This window comes from Homo sapiens, chromosome 10 (assembly GCF_000001405.40).
Source record: "Homo sapiens chromosome 10, GRCh38.p14 Primary Assembly".
Classification (NCBI taxonomy): Eukaryota; Metazoa; Chordata; class Mammalia; order Primates; family Hominidae; genus Homo; species Homo sapiens.
In genome coordinates this window covers 99198633-99224095 of record NC_000010.11, presented here as the reverse complement: position 1 = coordinate 99224095, position 25463 = coordinate 99198633, and the positions used below count along the sequence as shown (strand labels likewise).

Genomic DNA, 25463 nt, shown 5'->3' with positions numbered 1-25463 from the left:
CCAAGAGGAATAAACATGAACTGTACTCTCAAGAGTGCTGTGATCTTATATATTAAACATAAATTTTGTAGTAGTCTCCAGTGTCCTCTCTTTAGTTAGACCAATCTTTGCTTAGTTCCTCTACTTCTCCACTTACATATATTATACTTTCCATGTTGAACACACATCTCCCTCTCCCCTGAAATTGAAAATTTTACCTGTTCTTGAAAGCTCTGCTCAAATTCCATCTTTCATTAAACCTTCTGCTAAGTCAGTACCCATTAATTTCCCTCTTTCTCTAATTTTTCTAAAATTCTTTTCTGAATATGCACTCCAATTTAGTCCAAGTACCCAGACTGACTTAAGCAAGTCATTTTTGTCCTTAGGAATTTACAATAAAAATACACTGCTATTGTTACACATACAAAAACCAATATAGATATAACCACCATCATACTGCATGGAACAGACACATTAAGTCAAACAAAGTATTTATGTTATTTACAAACCTAAATATATGTGTTTTGGTTTTTGTGTAGCAGATAATGAAGAGTGAAATGTATATGCTGTATATTTAGAAAAGATGGGTGCATGCATGTATCTATATGTTTGTGTTGAAGGAATTAGGGGTTAAACCAGTACCTTATTTTCACTTGGTTTGGAATGCGAAGTTAGAAAGCTGGGAAAAGGTAAACTGCCCAGATTTGGGACATTATCTCTTAAATACTATGGAAGAATGAATGTTTCTCTGCAGCCCAATAATAGTAATAACACAACCATAATAATAATACTTAATGTTATTGAATGCTTATTATGTGCCAGGTACTGTTTTAAGCAGTATACATGCATTAATACATTAATCCTTCCATCAACCCTATGAGGAAAGTACTGTTTACCCCATTTGACAGATGGGGAAACCAAGGCACAGAGAGGTTAAGTAATTTGCCCAAGACTACCCAGCTAATGAGTTGTGCCACAGAGACTCAGTGATATCAATCATTAAACCTTCAAGCTTAAATGGAGCCTCTGCTATGAAGTATTAAATAGCTGGTAGAACCAGGATTAGATCCCAGTCGTGTATTGTGCTTAGGTAAGAGAGGGATTCAATCTTTGAATCATGCATTGTCCTATTTATTCGTCCATTCATTTGTCTGGCTCCGAAACCCCTAAACTAAGCATTGTGGAGCATTAAAAAAATGTGTGCCATATGCCTTCCCATGAATATAGTCCCATGAACATATTCAAAGGTCTTGTGGGTTGTGACACAAAATAGTTGTTAGGTAAAACAGAGAACGATAACTGCAGGAAGACACATGAACAGTTGAAAGAAATGATTGTCACATTTTAGGACATGTTGAAGGAGTAGAACAACAACTGATCCAATGTAGGAAAGGACTTATAGTTTCTCTAGGAAGGAGGTATATTTTGGAAGCAGATGCATTGAAGGGAATAATAGAAATGGATCAATGGTGTTATTGATGTAAGGGAAATTTCAGGAAAAAAGAGAAATAAGAATATTTGAAAAAATTATTGGACAATTTTGAGAATATTTGAAAAAATTACTGGGCAATTTTATAATTACTTTTTATTTATACACTGAACCATACTCTGACTTATTCTTCCTTCAAGTTTTAAGCCTAGTGAAGTCCTGTGAAGAGAAAAGGGAATTGATAAAGGTGAGATTTCAAGAAAGCCTTTTCTTCATACTTCTTTGCCTTATCTTTCTGTTTGAACTGAGATTTTGTTAAATTCAAGTAGGGAACACAGCTATAGACACTTAAAATGAAGAAATCAAGGAACAAAGAGGTTATACAGTCTGCAAAATGTCTCAGGGGTTAAGTAACTGTACTAGTAAATGGCTGAGCTGTGGTTGAATCCAGGGCAGTCTCTCTCCAAAGCTGGTGATTTTCATTACCCCTGTTATAACATAGCAGCACAGTGTTTCTCATTCCTCTACCAAGTCAGCTTCAAAGGCCTTTCCCCTAGAGGAAAGGCCTTTATATTAGCTGGAGTCTGATTTGAAAGTTTGCTTGTAAATAGGGCTAAATGATAATTATTGTTGTTTCCCTTGTGACTGTTTTCATCTGGTTTGGGCACTCATCACCTCACACCTGTTCTGTAGCACGTCTCAGCTGGGTTTCCTGTTTTCAGCCTCTCTCCATCTTGTTGTCTTATTAACCTTTCTGAAGCTCCACTTTCCTCCTGTCACTGCCTAGCTCGAAACCTTCACCGACATCCCTTGTCTGCTAGCTCAAGTTTTTGAGCTTTCCAAGGCTCCCTAAGGTCAGTCTGCACTCCTTGGCCAGCTTCTTCTCTCCGCCTCCCTGTAGGAACCTAAGTTTATTTACAAGCAGATGGTATAGCTTGTTACTCTACTTCTACCCTCTCTGACATTCTTTTCATTTCTAACCCTCTGGATATTCCACCTTATCATCCCTCTGCCACATTCTACCCATTTCTGAATTCTGCCTACTTTTCAAAGCCCTGCTCAAGTTTTTTCTCCTTTTCTATGATTCTTTGCTATCTTAGCTCAAAGTGTTTAATTAATTCATTTATGAAACACTTATTGAGCCTGAGTTTCTAAAATACTTATTGTCTAAAAATCACTCTTGTGGCCATTTTCGTATTCTGCTTTATGTTCTCAGGTATTTTTTTGTGAATGTTCATGTAAACTTGGCTCTACTCCTAGATTATAGGGCACTGTGAGAGTAGTGATTGTAACATTTCTGTAGTTTCTACAATCTAGTAAAGTGCCTTTTATGTAGTAGCTCTTCAGTAAGTACTTGTTGACTGGTTATTTCCCACTTATTTGGTAGCTAATATGCTAATAACCTCTCTCCCACTTCTAGTTGTTGCTTAACTTCTTCATACTTCTACAGATTTATGCTTTTCATTCATTTTATTATCAATGTAATGCATGCACATGAATACTCTCATTAAATAATATGTACATCAAATAAAAACTGAAAGCCGGCCAAGTGCGGTGGCTCATGCCTGTAATTCCAGCACTTTGGGAGGCTGAGGCGGGCGGATCACCTGAGGTCAGGAGTTTGAGACCAGCCAGGCCAACATGGTGAAACCCCGTCTCTACTAAAAATACAAAAATTAGCTGGGCGTGATGGCGGGCACCTGTAATCCCAGCTACTTGGGAGGCTGAGGCGAGAGAATCGCTTGAACCTCGGAGGTGGAGGTTGTAGTGAGCTGTTGCACTCCAGCCTGGGCAACAAGAGTGAAACTCCGTCAAAAAAAAAAAAAAAAAAAAGTGAAAGCCTCCCTTCATGTTCCATTCCCACTTTTTTTTTTTTTTTTGAGACGGAGTCTCACTCTGTTGCCAGGTTGGAGTTGGGGTGCAGTGATGCAGTCTCAGCTCACTGCAACCTCCACCTCCCGGGTTCAAGAGATTCTCCTGCCTCAGCCTCTGGAGTAGGTGGGACTACAGGCATGCGCCACCACGCCCAGATAATTTTTGTATTTTTAGTGGAGACAGGGTTTCACCATGTTGGCCAGGATGGTCTCGATCTCTTGAGCTCATGATCCGCCCACCTCGGCTTCCCAAAGTGCTGGGATTACAGGCGTGAACCACCACACCTGGCCTCCATCCCCAGTTCTACTCCATAGGTATAACCACTTTCAACAGTCTGACCTGTATCTTTTCAGATCATTTGCCATGCATACAGAAGTATATACATTTTAAAGTATATAGATAGAATCACATTGTTATAAAACTTGCTTGTCTAGATAACCTTATAGTTGGTAATTATGGTGTGTTTTTCAGTGGGTAAAGAATATATGCAGAGGACCTGTTTATTCTCTTTCATTGGTACTTTTTTTTTTAAACAAGAAGTTATCTGTTTGTTATTTGTGCTATAGTATCATATTTCTCTGATCTAAATTAATTCTTTCCCTGTAACATCTCTTTAAACACCATTATCCATCTTAATCCTTTTAATAACTATAGTACATTCTTTGGGTAAGTGTCACAAAAATGGCCATAGCAAAACTAACCTTATGCATCAAAATATGATATCCTTTAATAAAACAAGTGCTTTGTAAAGTTTTGGATGCAGATAGAAAGTGACACTAACATTGTTTTGATTTTTGGCTCAAATAGTATATCACTGTGTCATTTGTAAGAAATCCTGGCTAAGGAATTTTTGATTCTCTTTGAATATTACTCATCTCATTAATGCTGCTCTGTGAATTTGAATACTAATCAGCCAACAAATAAAGATTTTTAAATACCTGGGATAATTTTTAGTTAGAAACAGACTAAAGAAGGCAGAAGGTCACCATTTTTGAATAGCTCCCTAGCCAGTTGTCTGCAGGAGAAAAATAATTACACTTTACATTTGTAATATTTAAAGATTGTAAAAACTCCTCTGATTTTCACAGTACGGTAATCTTATTTTAAGTTGGCATCTCCATTTTATAACTGAGAAAACAGACTCAAGGAAGTTGCTCAAAATAACAGGGCTTTTACGTAGAAGAGCTGGGATTAGAACTCATTACTTATACATTTAAGCATGACATTCTTAAATGAACTATAACAGCTAAAAGTAATCCCTCCACTCCACTGAAGTGAACTGGTGTAGGTACTTGTGTTTTGGGGGTGGTTGGGCCAATCTGAAACAGGTTCTCTGGGAGACTAGAGTGGGTCTGTGGTTTCTGGGAGAGGCCATGTGTGCTTGTAGGTGTGCAAGGGTGAGTTTACTCCTGGATTCTTCCATGTTTTTAAACTGTCATTCATTGACAGACTCCTGAAGAGGCTGTAGAATGACATTCTTGGAGACTTAGGACTTGAATCCCAGACCCCCTTTGCAGTAGGCCCCAAACCCAAGGTGTGGTTAGAAACCAGTCCAGAGAATAGGAGCACTATTTGAGAGCACTCTGTGGGATGCCAAAATCACTTCTGAAACTTCCAAAAAGATTCTAAAAGCCATTGAAATGCAGACATTCATTAGCTATCACAATGCACCCAGTGAGAGGGAGGAGGAGTCTGCTTCCTTTACTGCAGAGGAGGCCCATAGTGAATAAGCAGAGGAGTGGAAATATAACTTGAGCTTTCTGGTGACTTAGTCACTAAGCCATGCACACTTTAAAAAATGAATGTAATCACCATTGAGGTAAATCTTTGGTTATCTCTCAGTGGCCTGATAGGTATGTTATTCTCATCTGGGAGTTTATTTCCTTGTAATTGTTGGAAAAGCAGATCATGGACTTATTTGCCTGGCCATTACGAATCTCCTTGGAAGAGTAGACTTAGGATAAATCCTGTGAGATGTAGATTCAAAAGGATCTATAGGCTAGGCTTAGCCAAGTTAAAATCCATAGGTGAAACTAAACATGTAACCTAAAACTATTAGAAAAATAAGTGCTATTGTTTCATAGAACATTTGTAGAAGCAAATGAATGGCACCCCTGTCCAAAAGTCAGGATTTTCAACAACTTGCAGCAGAAAACTTACATTTATGAAATGTCTTCATTTGGGGTTTTTGTGTCACTGAATGACTGAGGTCTTTTGTTTCTTTTGTTTTTCTCATGGCAATAAAGTTGAAATTTAGCAAGCTTTCAAAATGAAATTTCTCATAGAAGTTATAACCACAGGTTTTAAGTTTTCATCACCTAAATGTGGAACAGAACGATTGAAAACTCAGGGGGAGGGGAAAAGAGAGTCGAGGACACATGTGGTGTGTATCAAGAATCAGTGTAAATCAGAAAGGTGTGGTAAGGGGGATTTCCTGTGTTACAGCCTTGTTGAAACTATGCTCCCCCACCTTCCATCAATAAATTCCAAATGAAGGTGCTGGCCTTTCTGACACCTTGCCCCTTACCTGACATTCTGAGTTTCCTTCAGAAAGCTTCAAGGAAACTCAAAGTGTCAGGTAAGGGGCAAACTTGTCCTTGGAGATAATGTGTTCTTTGACTGTGGCAGTTACTTACCTGTAGGATGGGACCAGACTAGTACAATCTGAGCCTATTCTTTTTATCCCTGTTGTTGCATTCATTTCCGGGTTTCCAGGTATTATAATAATAACTACCATTTGTTGATCACTTAAATGTTACAAGTACTGGACCAAGAGCTTTTCAAAGGTGATCAGGTTTGGTCTTCACACCCCAACGAGGCAGCTACTATTAATTGTCCCATTTGATAGAAGCTTATAGAAGTTAATCAGTGGTTCCCAACTCTAGCTGTCCATTAGTATTAGCTAGGGGAGCTTTAAAAAATATTGGGGGCAGGCACAGTGGCTCACATCTGAAGTCCCAAAACGTTGTGAGGCTAAGCCAAGAGGATTGTTTGAGGCCAGGTGTTTGAGATCAGCCTAGGCAACATAGGGGGACCCCGTCTCTACAAAATAAAAAGTTAGCTGGGCTTGGTGGCACAGACCTGTAGTCTTAGCTACTCAGGAGGCTGAGGCGGGAGGATTGCTTTAGCCCAAGTGTGAGGCAGTGAGACATAATCATCCCACTGCACTCCAGCCTGGATGACAGAGATTTGTCTCAAAAACAAACAAGCAGCAGCACAACAACAACAACAACAAAAAAACTGGGTCCTAGGCCAATTCAATCTCTAGGGTGGAGCATAGGCATTTTGATTTAAAAAAAATCTCCCCAGGTGGTTCTAAAATGCACACAGCATAAGAATCTCTGAGTGAGTTGATTTGCCAAATGCACTTCAGATGGTCTGTAGTGGCCTTCAAATCTAGAGCCCAAGTATAGCCAGCTTGAATCTAAAGCCAGGCACAGCCAGCTCTTACGGAAAAATGCCTAAAGTTTTAATGTGCATTTGAATCGCCAGTGGATCTAGTAAGAAATAAGATGCCGAATTTCTAACAAACTTCCAGGTGATGCCCTCCTCCTGGCCCGGGAACCAGGAGGAGGGCATCACCTGGAAGTTTGCAACAGCAAAGCTTGCTACTAGATACTAATGTTACTACTTATGGTAGCAAGAGGAGAAAATGTTCACCGAAAGGCAGAAACAACATGGGGAGCTGGGAGGGGCTGCTCATGCATTTTGCTTTAGTGATGATGGCAGGGATCACAGGCTGATTATATAAAGTTCTTAGTGTTTTCCTAGGGCTATCATAGGCTTTCCTAGGGTTTAAATAAACTGTTATGGGTTATTTTTCTATTCTTGAGAATGCTTGGAACTTCAAGACTGTGGTGAAACTAGTAAAACTTTACTTGTTGAGGTGTTTTAATCTGTTAGGAAAAGATGTGATTGTAATTAAACTCGTCAGTTATCAAACCCTTTCTTCCTGTTCTTAAAGGGGGCTGAAACAGGAGTTCAGATAGATGAGAAATGATAAGATAGCCAGGAATTTTCACAGTTACATGTTCATTCAATTAAGCACCTACTATGTACCAGCATTGCAATATGCTGTCCTTATAGGATACAAAAATGAATGAGACATTGTCTTGTCCTGATAGAACTTACACTTTAGTGGAAAAAAATGATGTATAGAGTAGATAATGATATAGTAGAAATCTGAACAGGCAAATTACAGAGGAAGAAGCAGTAAACCTTACCTGAAATAGTTGAGGAGGATTCCACAGGTGTCACCAGACAAATTTACTGTTGTTATTATCTCTGATTGTTGTAAATGTTTATAAGAGTCTAGGTTAGGCCGGTGCAGTGGCTCATGCCTGTAATCCCAGCACTTTGGGAGGCCGAGGCGGGCGGATCACCTGAGGTCAAGAGTTCGAGACAAGCCTGGCCAATATGGAGAAACCCTGTCTCTACCAAAAATACAAAAATTAGCAGGGCATGGTGGCAGGCGCTTGTAATCCAAGCTACTCAGGAGGCTGAGGCAGGAGAATCGCTTGAACTCCAGAGGTAGAAGTTGCAGTGAGCCAAGATCGTGCCACTGCACTCCAGCCTGGGCAACCAGTGAAACTCTGTCTCAGAAAAAAAAAAAAAAAAAAAAAAAGTTTAGGTTATTAGACCATTGCCGAGATTTTTAAAAGCTTCCTCTGCATTTCAGAATGGTTTCATAATTTTGAGATTAAAGGACCAGGTTATTCTCATCAATTACATGCATGACAAACATTTTTTAGATTAAACGTATTTTCTTCTGGAAGTAGCAACAATATCAGCAACATTATCAGACTACATTTATTGAACCGTTCCAAGGTGCTAGGCACTGTGCTAAACACTTTACAAGTATTTGTCTTATTTAATCTTCCTTTAAAAACAGCTTTATTGAGATAGAATTCACATCCTATACAATGCACATACCATTTAAAATTTACCATTCAGTGACTTCTATTATAGTTAGAGCTGTGCAGCCATTGCCACAGTCAATTTTAAAACATTTTCATTAGCCCAAAAGGAAAACTCTCACTCCGTGGCCGTTTCCTCATAACTTTTCCATCCCAGCCTTAGGCAACCACTAATCTACCTTCTGTCTCTATTGGTTTGCTTATTTTGGATATTTCATATGATGGGAATCATACAACATGTGGTCGTTTGTGACGCTTTTTAAAATTTTATTTTACTTTAAATTCCAGGGATACATGTGCAGAAAGTACAGATTTGTTACCTAGGTATACTTGTGCCATGGTGGTTTGCTACATCAACCTGTCATCTAGGTTTTAAGCCCTGCATGCATTAGATATTTGTCCTGATGCTCTCCCTCCTTTCGCCCCCCTACCCCGCCGACAGGCCCTGGTGGTGATGTTTCCCTCCCTGTGTCCATGTGTTCTCGTTGTTCAGCTCCCACTTATGAGTGAGAACATGCAGTGTTTGGTTTTCTGATCCTGTGTTAGTTTGCTGAAGATGATGGCTTACAGCTTCATCCATGTCCTTGCAAAGCATGATTTCATTCCTTTTTATGACTGCATAGTATTCCTTGGTGTATATGTACCACATTTTCTTCATTGGTGAAAATAAAGAAATGTCCGTCATTGGTGGGCATTTGGGTTGGTTCCATGTCTTTTCTATTGTAAATAGTGTTGCAGTAAACATATGGGTGCATGTGTTTTTATAGTTTAGGTTGGGCCGGGTGAGTTATATTCCTCTGGGTATATACCCAGTAATGGGATTGCTGAGTCAAATGGTACTTCTGGTACTAAATCCTTGAGGAATTGGTGCACTGTCTTCCCCAATGGTTAAACTAATTTACATTCCCACCAACAGTGTAAAAATGTTACTATTTCTCCACAGCCTCACCAGCATGTGTAGTTTCTTGACTTTTTAATAATCGCCATTCTGACTGATGTGAGATGGTATCTCATTGTGGTTTTGATTTGCATTTCTCTAATGATCAGTGATGTTGAACTTTTTATCATATGTTTTTTGGCCACTTAAATGTCTTCTTTTGAGAAGTGTCTGTTCATATCCTTCACCCACTTTTTGATGGTTTTTTTTTTCTTGTAAATTTGTTTAAGTTGCTTGTAGATTCTGGATATTAGACCTTTGCCAGATGGACAGATTGCAAAATTTTTCCCCCATACGGTAGGTTGCCTGTTCACCCTGATGATAGTTTCTTTTGATGTGTAGATGCTCTTTAGCTTAATTAGATCCCATTTGTGTGACTGTCTTCTTTAAGTTAACAAAGTTTTCAAAGTTAATACTTGTTATAGCACATATTAGTATTTCATTTCCTTTTATGACTAAATTATATTCCACTGTATGAATATACCACATTTCATTTAACCATTTATTAGTTTAATTGACTTTTTGGCTGTTATGAATATGCTGCTATGAAAATTTGTATACAAGTTTTTGTATGGACATATGTTTTCCCTTCTCTTGAGTATATACCAAGGAGTAGGAATATATGCTGGGTCATGTGGTAATTCTATCCTCTTTGAGAAAATGACAAATTGTTTTCCCCAATGGCTATACCATTTCACATTTGAACCAGCAGGGTATGAGGGTGCCAGTTTTTCCACATCCATGCCAACACTTGTTAATGGCTCTCATTTTGATTCTTGACATCCTAGTAGGTGTGAAATGGTATCTCATCATGGTTTTGATTTTTATTCCCCGATGGCTAATAATGTTGAGCATCTTTTCCTGTGCTTTTTGACCATTTGTAGATCTTCTTTTGAGAAATGTCTCTTCAGATTCTTTATCCCTTTTTAAATTCATTTATTTGTCTTTTTATTATTGAGTTGTAAGAGTTTTTCATATATTCTAGATATAAGTCCTTTATCAAACATATGATTTACAAAATTTTTCCCTCATTCTGTGGATTCTTTTTACTTCCTTGAGCATGTCGTTTCAAGAACAAATGTTTTTTAATTTGGTAATTATCTCATTTAATTTTCACAATGTCTCTGAGAGGTAGATTCTGTTATTATTCCCATTTTGTAGAAGAGGAAATTGAGGCTCAGACTTGCATAAGGCCGCATAGATTATAAGGAACAGAGCCAGGATTTCACATCCATGCTCCCCCACCTCTGCCCATTGGTGGGCAGTTTGACTTGGTGCATAATTCTTAATGCCTCATTTGAATTTTTTTTTTTTTCTAAAAACGTGAACCCAGAGCACAAATACTCAAGGGAGAACATAAGCCTTCTATGCCTCTTAATGGCTCTGGCAATTGACAGTGACATTGTATAAGATATATGCCTCAAACTGAAGTTGTGTGTGGGTGTGGTGTCTCAAAGAAAATGGTGTTTTTTGTTTTTTTTGCCAAATGCTCAATGAAATATGATGATGCTTTCCTTTGATCATGGACATTATGATCTTGGACAGCAGAGGGATGGAACCTATGGCCAGAGGTGGTCTCTATAATAATTGTATGGTTCTTTATCAGAGATTGTTTATGAAGCAAATCATCAATGTTGAACTCTTTAGGGAATTTTTTTTTCTTCTTGTTCAAGTATAATGACCCAGAATATTTTATTCCAAGAGTATTTTTTCTCTTCTCTGCATTTTGGACTTACCTTAGAAGTCTTATTTTTTCTTAAGGTAGAAAAAAAATTTCATTCTTATTTTGAGACTCAGTTTTTTCTGTAAGAGAATGTTTCTTTTAGTTCGAGTATAATGAAGCTTTTTTGATACAGTGCCAATTCTCTTTCCTACCTGTTTGACTGCTTTTGGTATTTCTCACTCTACCTTTGGTCTGTTGTTGTCCTATTCCAGGCCTTATGCTAAAATGGTAACCTCCTTATTGAAGTCAATGGCCCTAATTTCTTTGAAAGGAAGGGAATAAACATTTCTTGAGCACCTACCCTCTGCAAGGCACTTTATTTATTTAACTGGCAAAAACATTCTATATTATTTACAATATGATGTTTTGAAATATGTATACCTTGTGGAATGGCTCAGTGGAGCTAATTAACATATATATTACCTCACATACTTTTTAATTTTTCTGTGGTGAGAATACTTAATCTATTCTCTTAGCGATTTTAAAGAATATTGTTACTAACCGTAGTCATTATGTTGTACAGTAGATCTCTTGAAGGTATTCTTTTATAACTGAAATTTTATATCCTTTGAGCAATATCTCCCAAACCAACCCTCTGCCCCACAATAACCACCATTTTACTCTCTGCTTCTGTGGGTTTACAAATATAAATGAGATTGTGTGGTAGTATTCTTTTTGTGCCTGGTTTATTTCACTTACCCTAATGTTGCCTAGGTTCATCCATGTTATTGCAAATGACAGGATTTCCTTCTTTTTCAAGGCTGAATAATATTCTGTTGTATATGTATATATACCACATTTTCTTTATTTATCTGTTGATGGACACTTAAGTGGGTTCTTTATCTTGACTATTGTGAATAATGTTGCAGTGAACATGGAAGTGCAGCTATCTGTTTGACATAGTGATTTCATTTCCTATGTATATATATCTAGTAGTGGGATTGCTGGATTTTTAGTTTCTTGAGGAACTTCCGTACTGTTTTCCATAATGGCTCTACTGATTTACATTCCCACCAAGTATGCAAGGGTTTCCTTTTCTCTACACCCTCACCAACACTTATTATCTTTTGTCTTTTTGATAATAGCTATTCTAACAGATGTGAGATGATGTCACTATGGATTTAATTTGCATTTCCCTGATAATCAGTGACGTTGAACATTTTTCCATATACTTTTTGGCCATTTGTCCATCTTCTTTTGTGAAATGACTTTGCCCATTTAAAAATATTTGTTTTCTTGCTGTTGAGTTGTGTTCTTTATATATTTTGAATATTAACTGCTTATCAGATGTGTGGTTTGCAAATATTTTCTCATTTTTTAGGTTGTCTCTTCCCTGTGTTGATTGTTTCCTTGGCTGTGCACAAGCTTTTTAGTTTGATGTAATCCCATTTGTCAAATTTTTATTTTGTTGCCTGTTCATATCCAAAAAATTATTGCCCAGGCCAATGTAATGGAGCTTTTCCTGTATGTGTTCTTCTAATAGTTTTATAGTTTCAGGTCTTAAATTTAACCCTTTAATCCATTTTGAGTTGATGTTTGTATAAGATGTGAGATAAAGGTCTAATTGCATTCTTCTGCATGTGGATATCCAGTTTCTCAACACCATTTATTGAAGAGGCTGTCTTTTCCCTATTGCCTGTTCTTGGCAATTTTGTCAAAAATCAGTTGAGTGTAATGTGTGGCTCCATTTCTGGCGTCTCGGTTCTGTTCCATTGGTATATGTGCCATTTTTTAATGCCAGTACCATACTTTTTTTTCTTTTTATTACGATAGCTTTGTTGTCTATTTTGAAGTCAGGTAGTGTGAGGCCTCCAGCTTAGTTCTTTTTGCTCAAGATTGTTTTGGCTGTTTGGGGTCTTCTGGGCTTCCATATGAATTTTAGGATTTTTTCTAAATCTATGAAAAATACCATTGGGATTTTGTTAGGGACAGCATTGAATCTCTTTGGATAGTATGGATATTTCAATGATATTTATTCTTTGAATCCATGAACATGGGATAGCTCTTATGTGTACGAGTCTTTTACCTGTTTGGTTAAATATTTCTAAGTATTTTTTTTTTGTAAAAGCTATTATAAATAGAATTGTTGTCTTCATTTCTTTTTTTTGGATAGTTCATTGTTAGTGTACAAAAATGCTTGTGAGTTTTGTATGTTGATTTTGTACCCTGCAACTTTACTGAATTTGTATATAGTTCTGACAGTTTTTTGGTTGAATCTTAGGGTTTTCTAGATATAAGATTATGTCTGGAAAGAGGGATAGTCTAACTTCTTCCTTTCCAACTTGGAGCCTTTATTTCTTCTTTATGCCTAATTGATCTGTCTAGGACTTCCAGTTCATATTGAATAGAAGTGGTGAGAGAGGGCATCTTTATCTTATTCCTCATCTTAGCAGAAGAGCTTTCGACTTTTCACTGTTGAGTATAACGTTAGCTGTGAGTTTGTCATACATGGCCTTTATTGTGTGGTGGTACATTCCTTCTATACTTAATTTGTGGAGAGTTTGTATCATAAAAGGGCATAAAATTTTGTCAGATGCTTTTTCTACATCTGTTGAGATGATCATAAGGTTTTTGTCCTTCATTCTATTAATATGGTGTAACACATTTATTGATTTGTGTATGTTGAATCATCCATGTATCCCTGAGATAAATTCTACTTGTTCATGGTGAATGATTCTCTTAATGTGCTGTTGAATTCAGTTTGTTAGCATTTTGTTGAGGAATTTTTCAACTATATTCATCAGAGATATTGGTCCATAATTATCTTTTCTTGTAGTATCATCGTCTGGCTTTTGTATCAAGGTAATTCTGGTCTCATAAAATGAGTTTGGAAGTATTCCCTCTTCTTCAATTTTTTGGAAGCATTTGAGAAGGATTGGTATTAGTTCTTTAAATGTTTGGTAGAATTTAGCAGGGAAGCTGTCGGATCCTGGCCTTTTCTTTGAGGAGAGATCTTTTATTTCTGATTCAGTCTCCTTAGTCATTATTGGTCTGTTCAGATTTTTTATTTCTTCACGATTCAGTCTTGGTAGGTTGTGTGTGTCTAGGAATTTATCCACTTCTTCCAGGTTATTCGATTTTCTTGCATATAACTGCTCTTGGTAGTTTTCTTAGGATCTTTGTGTTTCTGCGGTACAAGTTGTAATGCCTCCTGTTTCATTTATAATTTTATTTATTTTAGTTTTTTCTCTTTTTTCTTAATCTAGCTAAAGATTTGTTGATTTTATCTTTTCAAAAAAACAGCTCTAAGGCTGGGCGCAGTGGCTTACGCCTGTAATCCCAGCACTTTGGGAGGCTGAGGTGGGCAGATCACGAGGTCAGGAGTTGGAGACCAGTCTGATCAATATGGTGAAACCCTGTCTCCACTAAAAATACAAAAATTAGCCAGGCGTGGTGGCATGCACCTGTAGTCCCAGCTACTTGGGAGGCTGAGGCAGAAGAATCGCTTGAACCCGGGAGGCGGAGGTTGCAGTGAGCCAAGATCATGCCACTGCACTCCAGCCTGGGTGACAGAGCGAGACTCCATCTCAAAACAAACAAACAAACAACTCTTAGTTGTATTAATATTTTCTATTGTTTTTCTAGTCACTATTTTATTATTTCTGCTCTGATCTTTATTATTTCTCTCCTTCTACTAACTTTGGGCCTAGTTTGTTCTTTTTTTCTAGTTCCTTCAGGCATAATGTTAGGTTATTTAAAATCTTTTTTTTCCCCTGTAAGCATTTATTGCTATAAACTTGCATCTTATTTTGCTGCTTCCCATAAGTTTTGGTATATTGTGGTTCCATTTTTATTTGTCTTACAATATTTTAAAATTTGCCTTTTAATTTCTCCATTGATCAATTGGTTATTTAGCAGCATGTTGTTAAATTACCATGTATTTGTGAAATTTCTGAATTTCTTCCTGTTACTGGTTTCTAGTTTTATACTATTGTGGTTGGAAAATATATTTGATATGATTTCAGTCTTCCTTAATTTGTTAAGATTTGTTTGTGGCCTAATATATGACCAATCCTGGAGAATTTTCTGTATGTGCTCAAGAAGAATGTATGTTTTGCTGCTGTTGGATGGAATGTTTTATATATGTCTGTTATGTCCAATTGGTTTGTAGTATTGTTCATGTCCAGTTTTTCCTTATTAATTTTCTCTCTGGATAATCGCTGAAGGTAGGTTATTGAAGTACCCTGCTATTATTGTATTTGTCTATCACTCCCTTGAGATCTATTAATTTTTGCTTTATATATTTAGGTGCTGCAATGTTTGTTGCACAGATATTTTTAACTATTATATGTTCATTAATTAATCCCTTTATCATGTTTTATGACCTTTTTTGTCTGTTTAACAGCTTTTGACTTAAAGTACATTTGATCTAAGTTATAGCTACCCCTCTTCTCTTTTGGTTTCCTTTTGCATGGAGTAGGTTTCCTCATCCCCTCATTTTCAGCCTGTGTCCTTAAAGGAGAAGTAAGTCTCTTGTAGGCAGCATTTAGTTGAGTATTTTTTTAAATCCATTCAGTCACTCTATGTCTTTTTTTTTTTATTTTTATTTTTTGAGACTGGATCTCACTCTGTCACCCAGGTGGGAGTGCAGTGGTGTAATCATGGCTGACTGCAGCCTCGACCTGCTGGGTTGGTGATCCTCCCACCTCATTCCTCTCACATAGTTGGGACTATAGGCATGCACCATCATGCCTGGCTAATTTTCTGTATTTTTTGCAGAGATGGGGTTTTGCCATGTTGCCCAGGCTGGTCTTGAATTCCTGGGCTCAAGAAATATGCCTGCTTTGGCCTCCCAAAGTGCTGGAATTACAGACATAAGCCACTGTACCTAGCCACTCTAATGCCTTTTGAATGGACAATGTAATTCATTTACATTCAAGGTAACTATTGATAGGTAAGGACTTACTATTGTGATTTTGTTAATGTTTTCTGGTAGTTTTGTTTGTTTCTTTCTTCCTGTCTTGTCTTCATTTCTGATTAGGTGATTTTTTTAATAGTATTTTGCTTTGATTCGTTTTTGATCTTTTGTGTACAATAGTTTCTTTTTGTCCATCGTTTTGCTTTCTGAACTTTCAGTTACTATGGTACATTACAATAAGATATTTTGAGAGAGAAAGAGGAAGAAAGAAAACATTTACATGTTTGAATTTTATTATGGTATAACTTGTTATAATACTATTTTATTATAGTATAACTTCTTATATTATAATATAATTATACTATAATAAATTATAGTATATTGTTATAATTGTTCCATTTTATTATTAGTTATTGTTAATCTCTTACTGTGCCTAATTTATAAATTAAACTTTATCATAGGTATGTATGTATAAGAGAAAACATTATATATATTATATGGTTTGGTACTATGTGTGGTTTCAGGCATCTACTGGGGATCTTGAACTGTATCCCTTGTGAATAAGGTGGGGGGTGGCTATTAAACCTACTATAGGTTTTTACTTTGTATTTAGAGTGAAGCTTATATAAAAACATAGTTATTTTAGGCTTTTTAAAACTGTAGTAACTTCGATCACATAAAACAACTCAACACCTTCACTCTACTCCCTCCACATGTTATGTTTATGATGTCACAATTTATATCTTTGTATATTGCATATTCTTTAAAAACTTTTATTGTTAAGGTTCCTTTATTATAGCCATTATTATTTTTAGTACTTTTAGTAATTTTGTCTTGTAAGCATTATACTAAAGATATAAATTATTCACATACTATCATTACAGTATTTTTCTGAATTCGACTCCCTTTTATCAGTGATTTTTATATCTTAGTGGGTTTTGGTGTTGCTAGTTAGCATCTTTTTCTTTCAGAACTCCCTTTAGCATTTCTTAAAAGACACGTCTGGTGATGATGAGTTCCTTAGCCTTTATTTGTCTGGGAAAGTCTGTCTATCTTTTATTTTGGAAAGGCAGCTTTGCTGGGTACGGTATCTATGATTGGGTATTTTTTTCTTTTAGCCCTTAGAATATGTCATCCTTCTGTCTCCTGGCCTATAAAGTTTCTGCTGAGAAGTCTTCTGCTAGCCTTATTATAACTCCCTTATATGTCATTTGCTACTTTTCTTTTGCTGGTTTTGGAAATCTCTCAATCTTTGATTTTTAACAGTTTGATGATAAAATGCCTTGTAGTCTTATTTGGATTGCAATTGATTAAAGATCTTTGACTTTCCTGTGCCTGGATATTTATATCTTTCTCTAGATTTGGAAAATATTCTGCTATTATTTTTTAAAATAAGCTTTCTTTCCTAGTCTTCCTCTTATTCTTTTTGAACTCTTATACCTAAAAAATTTGTCCTTTTGATGCTGTCTCATAAATCTTGTAAACTTTCTTCATTCCTTTACACTTTTCTCCTCTGGTTATATATTTCAAAATAACCAGTCTTTGATTTCATTGATTCTATCTTCTGCTTGATCAATTCTGCTGTTGAGGCTCTCTATTGCATTTTTCAGTTGATTCATTGTATTTTTTAAGCTCCAGAATTTATGTTTAATTTTAAAAGATAATTTCAATTTCTCATTATACTTATAATTTTGGTCATTTATTGGTTTCCAGATTTCATTTGTTTCTTTTTACCATTGACCCTGGAACAACATGGGGGTTAGGAGTGCCAATTTGCCATGCATTCACAAATCTGTATAACTTTTTTTTTTTTTTTTTGAGACAGGGTCTTGCTCTGTCAACCACTGCAGCCTTGACCTCCTGGGCTCAAGCGATCCTGCTACCTCAGCCTCCCAGGTAGCTGAGACCATAGCGCATGCCACCACCCCCGGCTAATTTTTTGTAGACATTGGGTTTCACCATGTTGCCCAGGCTAGGCTTGAATTCCTCAGTTCAAGTGATCCACCTGCCTTGGCCTCTCAAATTGCTGGGATTACAGACATAAGACACTGTGCCCAGCATATGCATAACTTTATTTCTGAAAAACATAAGTACTAATAGCCTTCTTTTGACCAGAAGCCTTATGGAACAGTAGATTAACACATATTTTGTTTTTTGCAAATGTGTAAGGTTTTTGCACCTGCTGTTGTAGCTGCACTGACAGTTTCACAGATTTCCTATTCTGTTTTCATAATGATCTTTATGCTGGATTTATCTATCTTGAAATGGTGGACATCTGCAGTTGCAGACCTCAACCTACAGTATGTATCAAGCAATTGAACTTTTTCTTATAATGTCATTACTTTTCTTGGCTTCTTGGGAGCACTTCCAGCATCACCAGTGACACTTCATATGAGTCCCATGATGTTAGTCAAGGTTTGCAGCATTGTGCTAAACATGGTGGAAAATATGTGAGAACCATAAGAGATCACTTTTTACTGCCATATGTAGTTTATTGGAGAGACAAATTGCTCATGCAGAGATGGTTAGCATCACATGGCATTTTAGGTTGGTGCTCCCAAGACTTGAACTTACTACTTAGCAATAGCAGGTGGCTACAGAATTAATATAGTAGTATGGTATGTACAACAGTTAATTTTACGCAGTTATGGTTTAATACTGCATTTTATATCTTTTTACATTTCTTTTGACTGTGAATTGGCGTGTCCAGTTTGTGTTTGTGTAGGTTTTGATATATATGTATATTTTTATGTGTGTGAAATTTCACATGAAATCCAAGAAAATGAGCTTTTTTTTTGAGACAGAGTCTCACTCTGTTGCCCAGGCAGGAGTGCAGTGGTGTGATCTTGACTCACTGCAACCTCTGCCGCCCGGGTTCAAGCGATTCTCATGCCTCAGCCTCCCGAGTGGCTGGGATTACAGGCACCTGCCACCATGCCTGGCTAATTTTTATAGTTTTGGTAGAGAGGGGCTTTCACCATCTTGGTCAGGCTTGAACTCCTGACCTCATGATCCACTCGCCTCAGCCTCCCAAAGTGCTGGGATTATAGGTGTGAGCCACTACACCTGGCCTATTTTTTTTCTCTTAAACATTACTCAGACCAGATCTGGTCTATTTTTTTAGTTTTAAAATTTTATTTTAGATTCGGGAGCTACACGTGCTTCTTTGTTACATGGGCATGTTACATACTGGTAGGGACTGGGCTTCTAGAATACCCAGTACCCAAATAGTGAACATTGTAACCAATAAGTAATTTTTCAGCCCTTGCTTCCCTCCTACCTTCCCTGCTTTTGGAGTTGCTGGTGTCTATTATTTACATCTTTATGACCATGTGTACCCATTGTTTAGCTTCCACTTATAAGTGAGAACATGCAGCATTTGGTTTTCTGAGTTAGTTCACTTAGGATAATGGCCTCAGCTCTATACATGTTGTTGTGAAGGACATTTCATTCTTTGTTATGGCTGCAAAGTGTTGAAAAATATTAACTCATAAAGATTTGCATATATTTTATTGCAGTAAATAACATAGACTACTATCTACATATATTTTGTGAATTCATGCCATACTTAACATTTTCTTTTTTTAAATATTTCTGTGCTATGCAGTTTATCTGCAACTTTTTTTCAAATTTTTCCAAATCTCCAAAAAATGTTTCCATATATTTATTCAAAAAATCTGCATATAGTTGAACCCATGGAGTTTATTTACATGGTGCTGGTCACAGGTCTACTGTATTTTCTTGAGGTTTGTTGAGCTTCCTCAAAATAATTACTTTAAATTATTTATCAGGCGGTTTATACATCTCCATTTCTTTGGAGTCAGCTATTGGGAGATTATTGTGTTCTTTCAGTGGTGTTAATATTTCCTAGGTTTTTTTCATGTTTCCTGTTACCTTACATTGATGTCTGTGCATTTTGTGAAGTAGGAACTTATTTGAATTTTTGCAGACTGGTTTTGTCTAGGAAAGCCCTTAAGCAGTGAGACAGTCCAGAGATTCAGGGAAGGTTATCTGGCATGGTCCATGGGATGGACTGCTGCTGGAGTCATCAGGCAGGCTGGCCTAGTTCCTGAGTCAGCAGGTGTGTGGGCCTGGGACCTGGTTACATGGGGTTGGACCTGGAGCCTGGATCTACTGGGGTGGGTCTGTTGTTTGGGTTTGTGGGATTGGGCCTCGAGCCTAGGTTTTTGAAGGCATGCCTGGGGCCTGTATGAATGGTCATCAGCCTGAAGTCTGGGTCCAATGTAGGGGACCTGGCACTGGTGTGGGCCTTGACCTGGATTGTACAGGGGCTGACAATGTGCTGGGATGTACCTGGCTCCTGGATCCAATGGGACAGGCCTGGAGTCTGTGTCTATAAGATCCACTGAGACAGGCTTGGAGTCTGTGTCTATAAGTGCTGGCCTATAGCCTGGGTTTCTAGGGGTGGTCCTGGAACCTTGGCCTGTGGGGTCATATCTGTCACCAGGGTCTGCTGGAGTGGGCCTGGACCCTTGGGCCTGGTGGAGCGGTCCTGGCTTCTGGGTTTGTGGCAACTGGCCTGGAGCCTGAGATTATGGGTGCTAACCTGGTCCTGGAGCTATGGGTGCTGGCCTTGGAGCCTGGGGCCATGAGAACTTCCCTGGAGACTGGGTCCACTAGGGCCAGCCTGGCGGTTGGTTCAGCGTGTGGGTGCTGGCCTGGATGGTAGGTTTTCGAGGGCTGGTTTCAGTCTTGGGTCTGGAACCTGGGCCCACAGGGAGCTCCTGAAGCCTGTGTCTGTGGGGGCCAGTCTAGTGCAGGAGTCTGTTGGGATGGGCCTGGATCCTGGGTCTGATTGAGCAGTACTGAATTCTGGGTCTGCTGAAGTATGGGGCTGCAGGGATTGGCCTGGCACTGGGCGGGCCTGGAGCCTGTGTCCATAGCTGTTGGCCTGGTACATGAGGCCAGGGTTGCTGACCTGGCTTGGATGGTCTGAAACCTGGAGTAGGATTGGAATCTGAGACCACAGGGACTGGCCAGGTGTTTGGTGGGCTTGGAGCCTGTAGTTGTAGGAGCCTGCGTACAGACTGGGTTTGAGGGTGCTGGCTCGTGACTAGGGCTGCAGGGAGCCATCTTGGAGCTGGGGATTGTCTAGGATCTCATGTCACTGGGGCTATCCTGGCCCTGGGGGCTGGCCTGTAGTCTGAGTCTCTGGGGGCTGGCCTGTTGCTGGGGTTGGGCCAGGCTAGTGCTGAGGCTGGTCTGAAGCCTGGGACTGCTGGGGTCATCCTCGTGGTGGGATGGGCCTGGAGACTGAATCTGCTAGGCAGGCCAAAAGCTGATGCTGCAGGATCTGGCTTGGCATGAGGGAAGGTTTGGAGGCTCGTTCTGGGGCCATGGGGGCCTGTCCAGCACTGGACTTTACTGAGGAGGGCCCAGTTTCAGGGTCCAAGGCAAAGTCGGATTGCTCACTTCCTTCTCTTTCCTTCTCTCTCCATGATGTGCTGCCTAGAGTCGGAGGAGGGGTGACATGGGTAAAATTGTCCCTCTTATTCTCTTCAGTATGTCTTTTCTTATTTTTTGTGCTATGCCTAGGTGCTATAATCTCTCACCTAGTTTTCTTAGCTATTGTGAAGGTTCGTTTGTGTGTGGTTAGTTGTTCAAATGGATGTGTCTATAGGGGTGATGAGTGCTGGAAAGTCTTATTCTACCATCTTGCTGACATCTGGCTGGGACTCTGCTTTATATTTTATCTCATTTAATCCTCACAACTACCCTACTAAGCAGGTTTCCAAATACCACCATTTAATTCATTTTTAAATTGATACATAATAGATATACATATTTTGGGGGTACATGTGATAAAATACTGCCATTTTAAAGATGAGGAAACTGAAGTTCAGCAGGGGTTAAATAACTTGTCCCAGCTTTACAACTAGGATTTGGGAATTAGTGCTAATGATTCTAAAATCTGTCGTCTTCAACAATACATGGTTACTCTTGCTCCATTTAAAAGTATCATCATTTTTAGTTTAGCGATGAATATATATGGTTGATCAGAAATACTTGCATCCTTATATTGAATTTCTGAATACCCTTATAACATTTAAAAGCCAAATAGGGGCTAACGATCCTCTTAGTATCAAATAATGATGCCTGAGGATTTGCTCTGCATTTCATCATCTCTGTTCCTGGTATCTCTGCTCTTGAGTATATCATGGTGTTTTAAAAATCACTATATATAACTGATATCTCTATCTCTATATCTGTCTATATCTATATTATCTATATCTATATCTCTATCTATCTATATATCAGATGTGAGGAAGGTAAAGATTGTATTCTGGCCTGGCAGTGGATTTACTTTGTTACTTCCAGCACCTGGCTTGCTCTTCCAGTGATCTCGTTTTATTTACTAGAATAGGAGATGGCTGTGGTTAGAGTATGGAAGTGAGCATCGTGAGACCCTGGTGATATTGTGGTGGGCTAATGAGTTACCACCATGGAGTATGGCGTCGTGTTCATCTTCTGGCCATTTTGGTTTCTTGGGAGTTGGAAGGGCTCTGGAAAAAACTAGGAGTCTAGGCTGAGAAATAAGGTTTTCTTGGAAATGAAGGAATATAGAATGAGTTTTTGTTTTATGCATATTAACCTTTGATCCCTTTTCTGAGGTTTTTAGTCATAATCAGGAGTATTTGGAAAGGCAGGGATACTCTTGTTTGTGTTTCACAAAGTGCCTAATGTTTGGAAATGGATAAGTTACAGATAATAATAATGTGTCATTGGGCAAATTCCATTTCCAATATACTAATGTAGTTTAGGAACTAGTTGTAAAAGACTTTCCTTGAAAAATGAAGTTGTAGGGGTTGAGATCAGATTGTGGAAGACAATCTGAGACAGCTTTAGAATTAAGATAAGGGGATTTGATTTTTCTTTAAACAATAGGGAGTCAAGGAAGGATTGTGACTAAGAAAATTATGTGTGATATTTTAGGAAGATTTATCTCATGGCTCCTCACAGGACAGAATAGAATAGTGGTGAGGTTGCCTAGGTTAGAAGGACCAAAAAGGCTAGTGAAGATATTCAAGAGTGAGATGAGCATGATTACATTAGTCAAGCAGCAGTGGAAAAGAAAGGGATAGTTAGGGACTCATTACAAAGGAAAAATTGACAGGATATGGTAATTGATTTGATCTGGATAATATCCTTTGCAATTATTTGTATTTGAGTTGCAGTATGAAAGGGAGACATTTGTATTTTTTTGGAAAATGTACTGGGATCAAATAATGCTTATAAACTGAGGAGTTAATAACATGGGCATGACTCAAACTTAATTTTCAAAAATTCAGTGCAGATTAGATTTTTGGCTCTGTCAAATCAGCTGAAAACAATTCACTTTTCTGCTTTTACCTATTTATTCTTTTTGCCTGAGTCCTCTCCTAAAAGCCAAAATGCAGGCAGACAATTTGATAGTTGAGGATGGGTTAAAAAATGGTTTCCAAGTATTGGTACATGGGTAGGAAGTACTTTTGTATGTGAGATACCTTCTTATACAGCTAAATATGACATACCAGTGTGACAGATACATATGAATCTAGTTAATATAGAGGGGAAAATCTTTCTGTAGCTAATAATGTGCTGCTAAACCTAACCTGTTTTCTTACAATTATATGTTCTTGCTTAGAAACAAGGACTGGGTGAGTGAATGGCCCTGTTACTTGTCATCATCATCATTGTCATCATTTTATTATTGATGATACTTATTAAAACATTTAATATGAACCAGGCATTGTATTCATATTATACCTACCATTTTATTTAATTATCATATAACCATCTTATGAGGTAGGTACCATTTTTATTATTGCACAAATGAGGAAGTTTAAGCTGAAAATGTTAAATAACTTGTTGAAGGTTGTACTGCTAATAAATGTCAGAGCTAGGACAGGAACTCAGATCACTTGACCCCAAATCTCTACAATATCTGCTAAAACACTTCCAGGTACCTCTTCAGCATCAGTTTTAGAGCTATAAAAACTTGCATCCTAATATTATTGTACTTCCTAACGAGAAATCTGGTTATAGGGACAAAGAGTTACTTATAAAATGTTTGATGTCATGTTTCCAGGTGCCTATCGCTTTGCTACATGCAGAACACATTTCAGTCAGGCAGTTACTAATAGTAATGGGTCACTAGCTGCCCAGGTGATTTTTTTAATTGTGGTAAAAAAAACACATAATATAAAATTTACCATTTTGAACTAATAAATGAATTCAGTAAAGTTGTAGATACAAAATTACCATACAAAAATCAGTTGCATTTCTTTACACTAACATTGAGCTATCTGAGAAGGAAATAAAACAATTCCATTTACAATAGCATCAAAGAGGGTAAAATATTTAGGAATAAACTTAAGGAGGTGAAAGACTACTATGCTGAAAACTACAAAACATTGATGAAGGAGTTGAAGAAGACACACATAAATGGAAAGACATTCCATGTTCATGGGTTAGAAGAATTAATATTTTTAAAGTGTCTATACTACCGAAAGAAATCTACAGATTCAATGCAATCCCTATCAGAATCTCAATGTCTGTTGTTTTTCTTAACAGAAACAGAGAAAACAATTCAAAAAATCCATTTGGAATCACAAAAGACTTTGAAATGCCAATGCATTCTTGAGAAAGAACAAAGCTGGAGGCGTTACGTGTCCTTGTTTCAAAATATATTACAGAGCTACATTAATTAAAATAGTTTTGTAAGGGCATAAAGACAGACATATAGACCAAAGGAACATAATTGAGAGCCCAGAAATAAGACCATGCATATATGGTCAAATAATCCTTGACAAGGGTGCCATAAATATACAATTGGAAAATGACAGTCCCTTCAACAAGTGATGTTGGGAAAACGGGATATCCACATGCAAAAGAATAAAATCGGACCCTTATTTTATACCATACCCAAAAATCAAGCCAAAATGGACTAAAGACTCAGTATCACTAATCATCAGGGAAATGCAAATTAAACCACAGTGAGATATCACTTCATACCTGTTAGGATAGCTATTATTTAAAAAATGATAGCTGTTGGTGAGGATGTGGAGAAACTGGAACCCTTTTATACTATCAATGGAAATGTAAAATGGTGCAGCCACTATGTAAAACAGTATGGAAGTTCCTTAAAAAATTAAGATACTTTATGATCCAGAAATCCTCTCATTCCAAGAGAATTGAAATTAAAATCTCAAAGAGGTATTTGCACTCCCATGTTCCTTGCAACAATATTCACAATAGTCAAGATGTGGAAACAACCTAAATGTCCATTGATGGATTAATGACTAAAAAATGTGGTATAAAAAGACAATGGAATATTATTCAGCGTTAAAAAGAAAGCAGTTTTGTCATATGTGACAACATGGATTAACCTGGAGCACATTATGCTAAGTGAAATAAACTAATCACAGAAGGACAAATATTGCATGATCTCGCTTATATGAAGTATTTGAGATAGTCAAACTAATAGAAACAAAGAGTAGAATGGTGGTTTCCAGGTACTGGGAGAAGAGGAAAATGGGAAATTATTATCCAGTGGGTATAAAGTTTCACATATGCACGATGATTAATTAATTCATTAAGATCAGCTGTAGAATTTTGTGACCTTAGTTAACAACAGTTATTTGTAAAAACTGAGGGTAGAGCTCATGTTGTGTTATTACCACAATAATATAAAAAATTTCCATCATAGCCTTCATATTATAAAACCCTAAAGTTTATTATATGTA

General features: G+C 37.6%; 1 protein-coding gene across 13 annotated transcripts in view; it reads left to right on the top strand.

The window, feature by feature from the left end:
• HPSE2 (heparanase 2 (inactive)) overlaps positions 1–25463 on the top strand; it is an 858875-nt gene that overhangs the window by 91856 nt on the left and 741556 nt on the right. Inside the window, exon 1 of one of the 13 annotated variants that reach the window (XM_011540031.2) lies at positions 15624–15753. The exons of 11 other annotated variants lie outside the window; for them this stretch is intronic. The gene's annotated coding sequence lies outside the window, so the exon portion shown is untranslated. Of the gene's footprint in view, positions 1–15623; positions 15754–25463 lie in introns of those variants that run through there. One more of the 13 variants, XM_017016497.2, reaches the window with a different exon arrangement.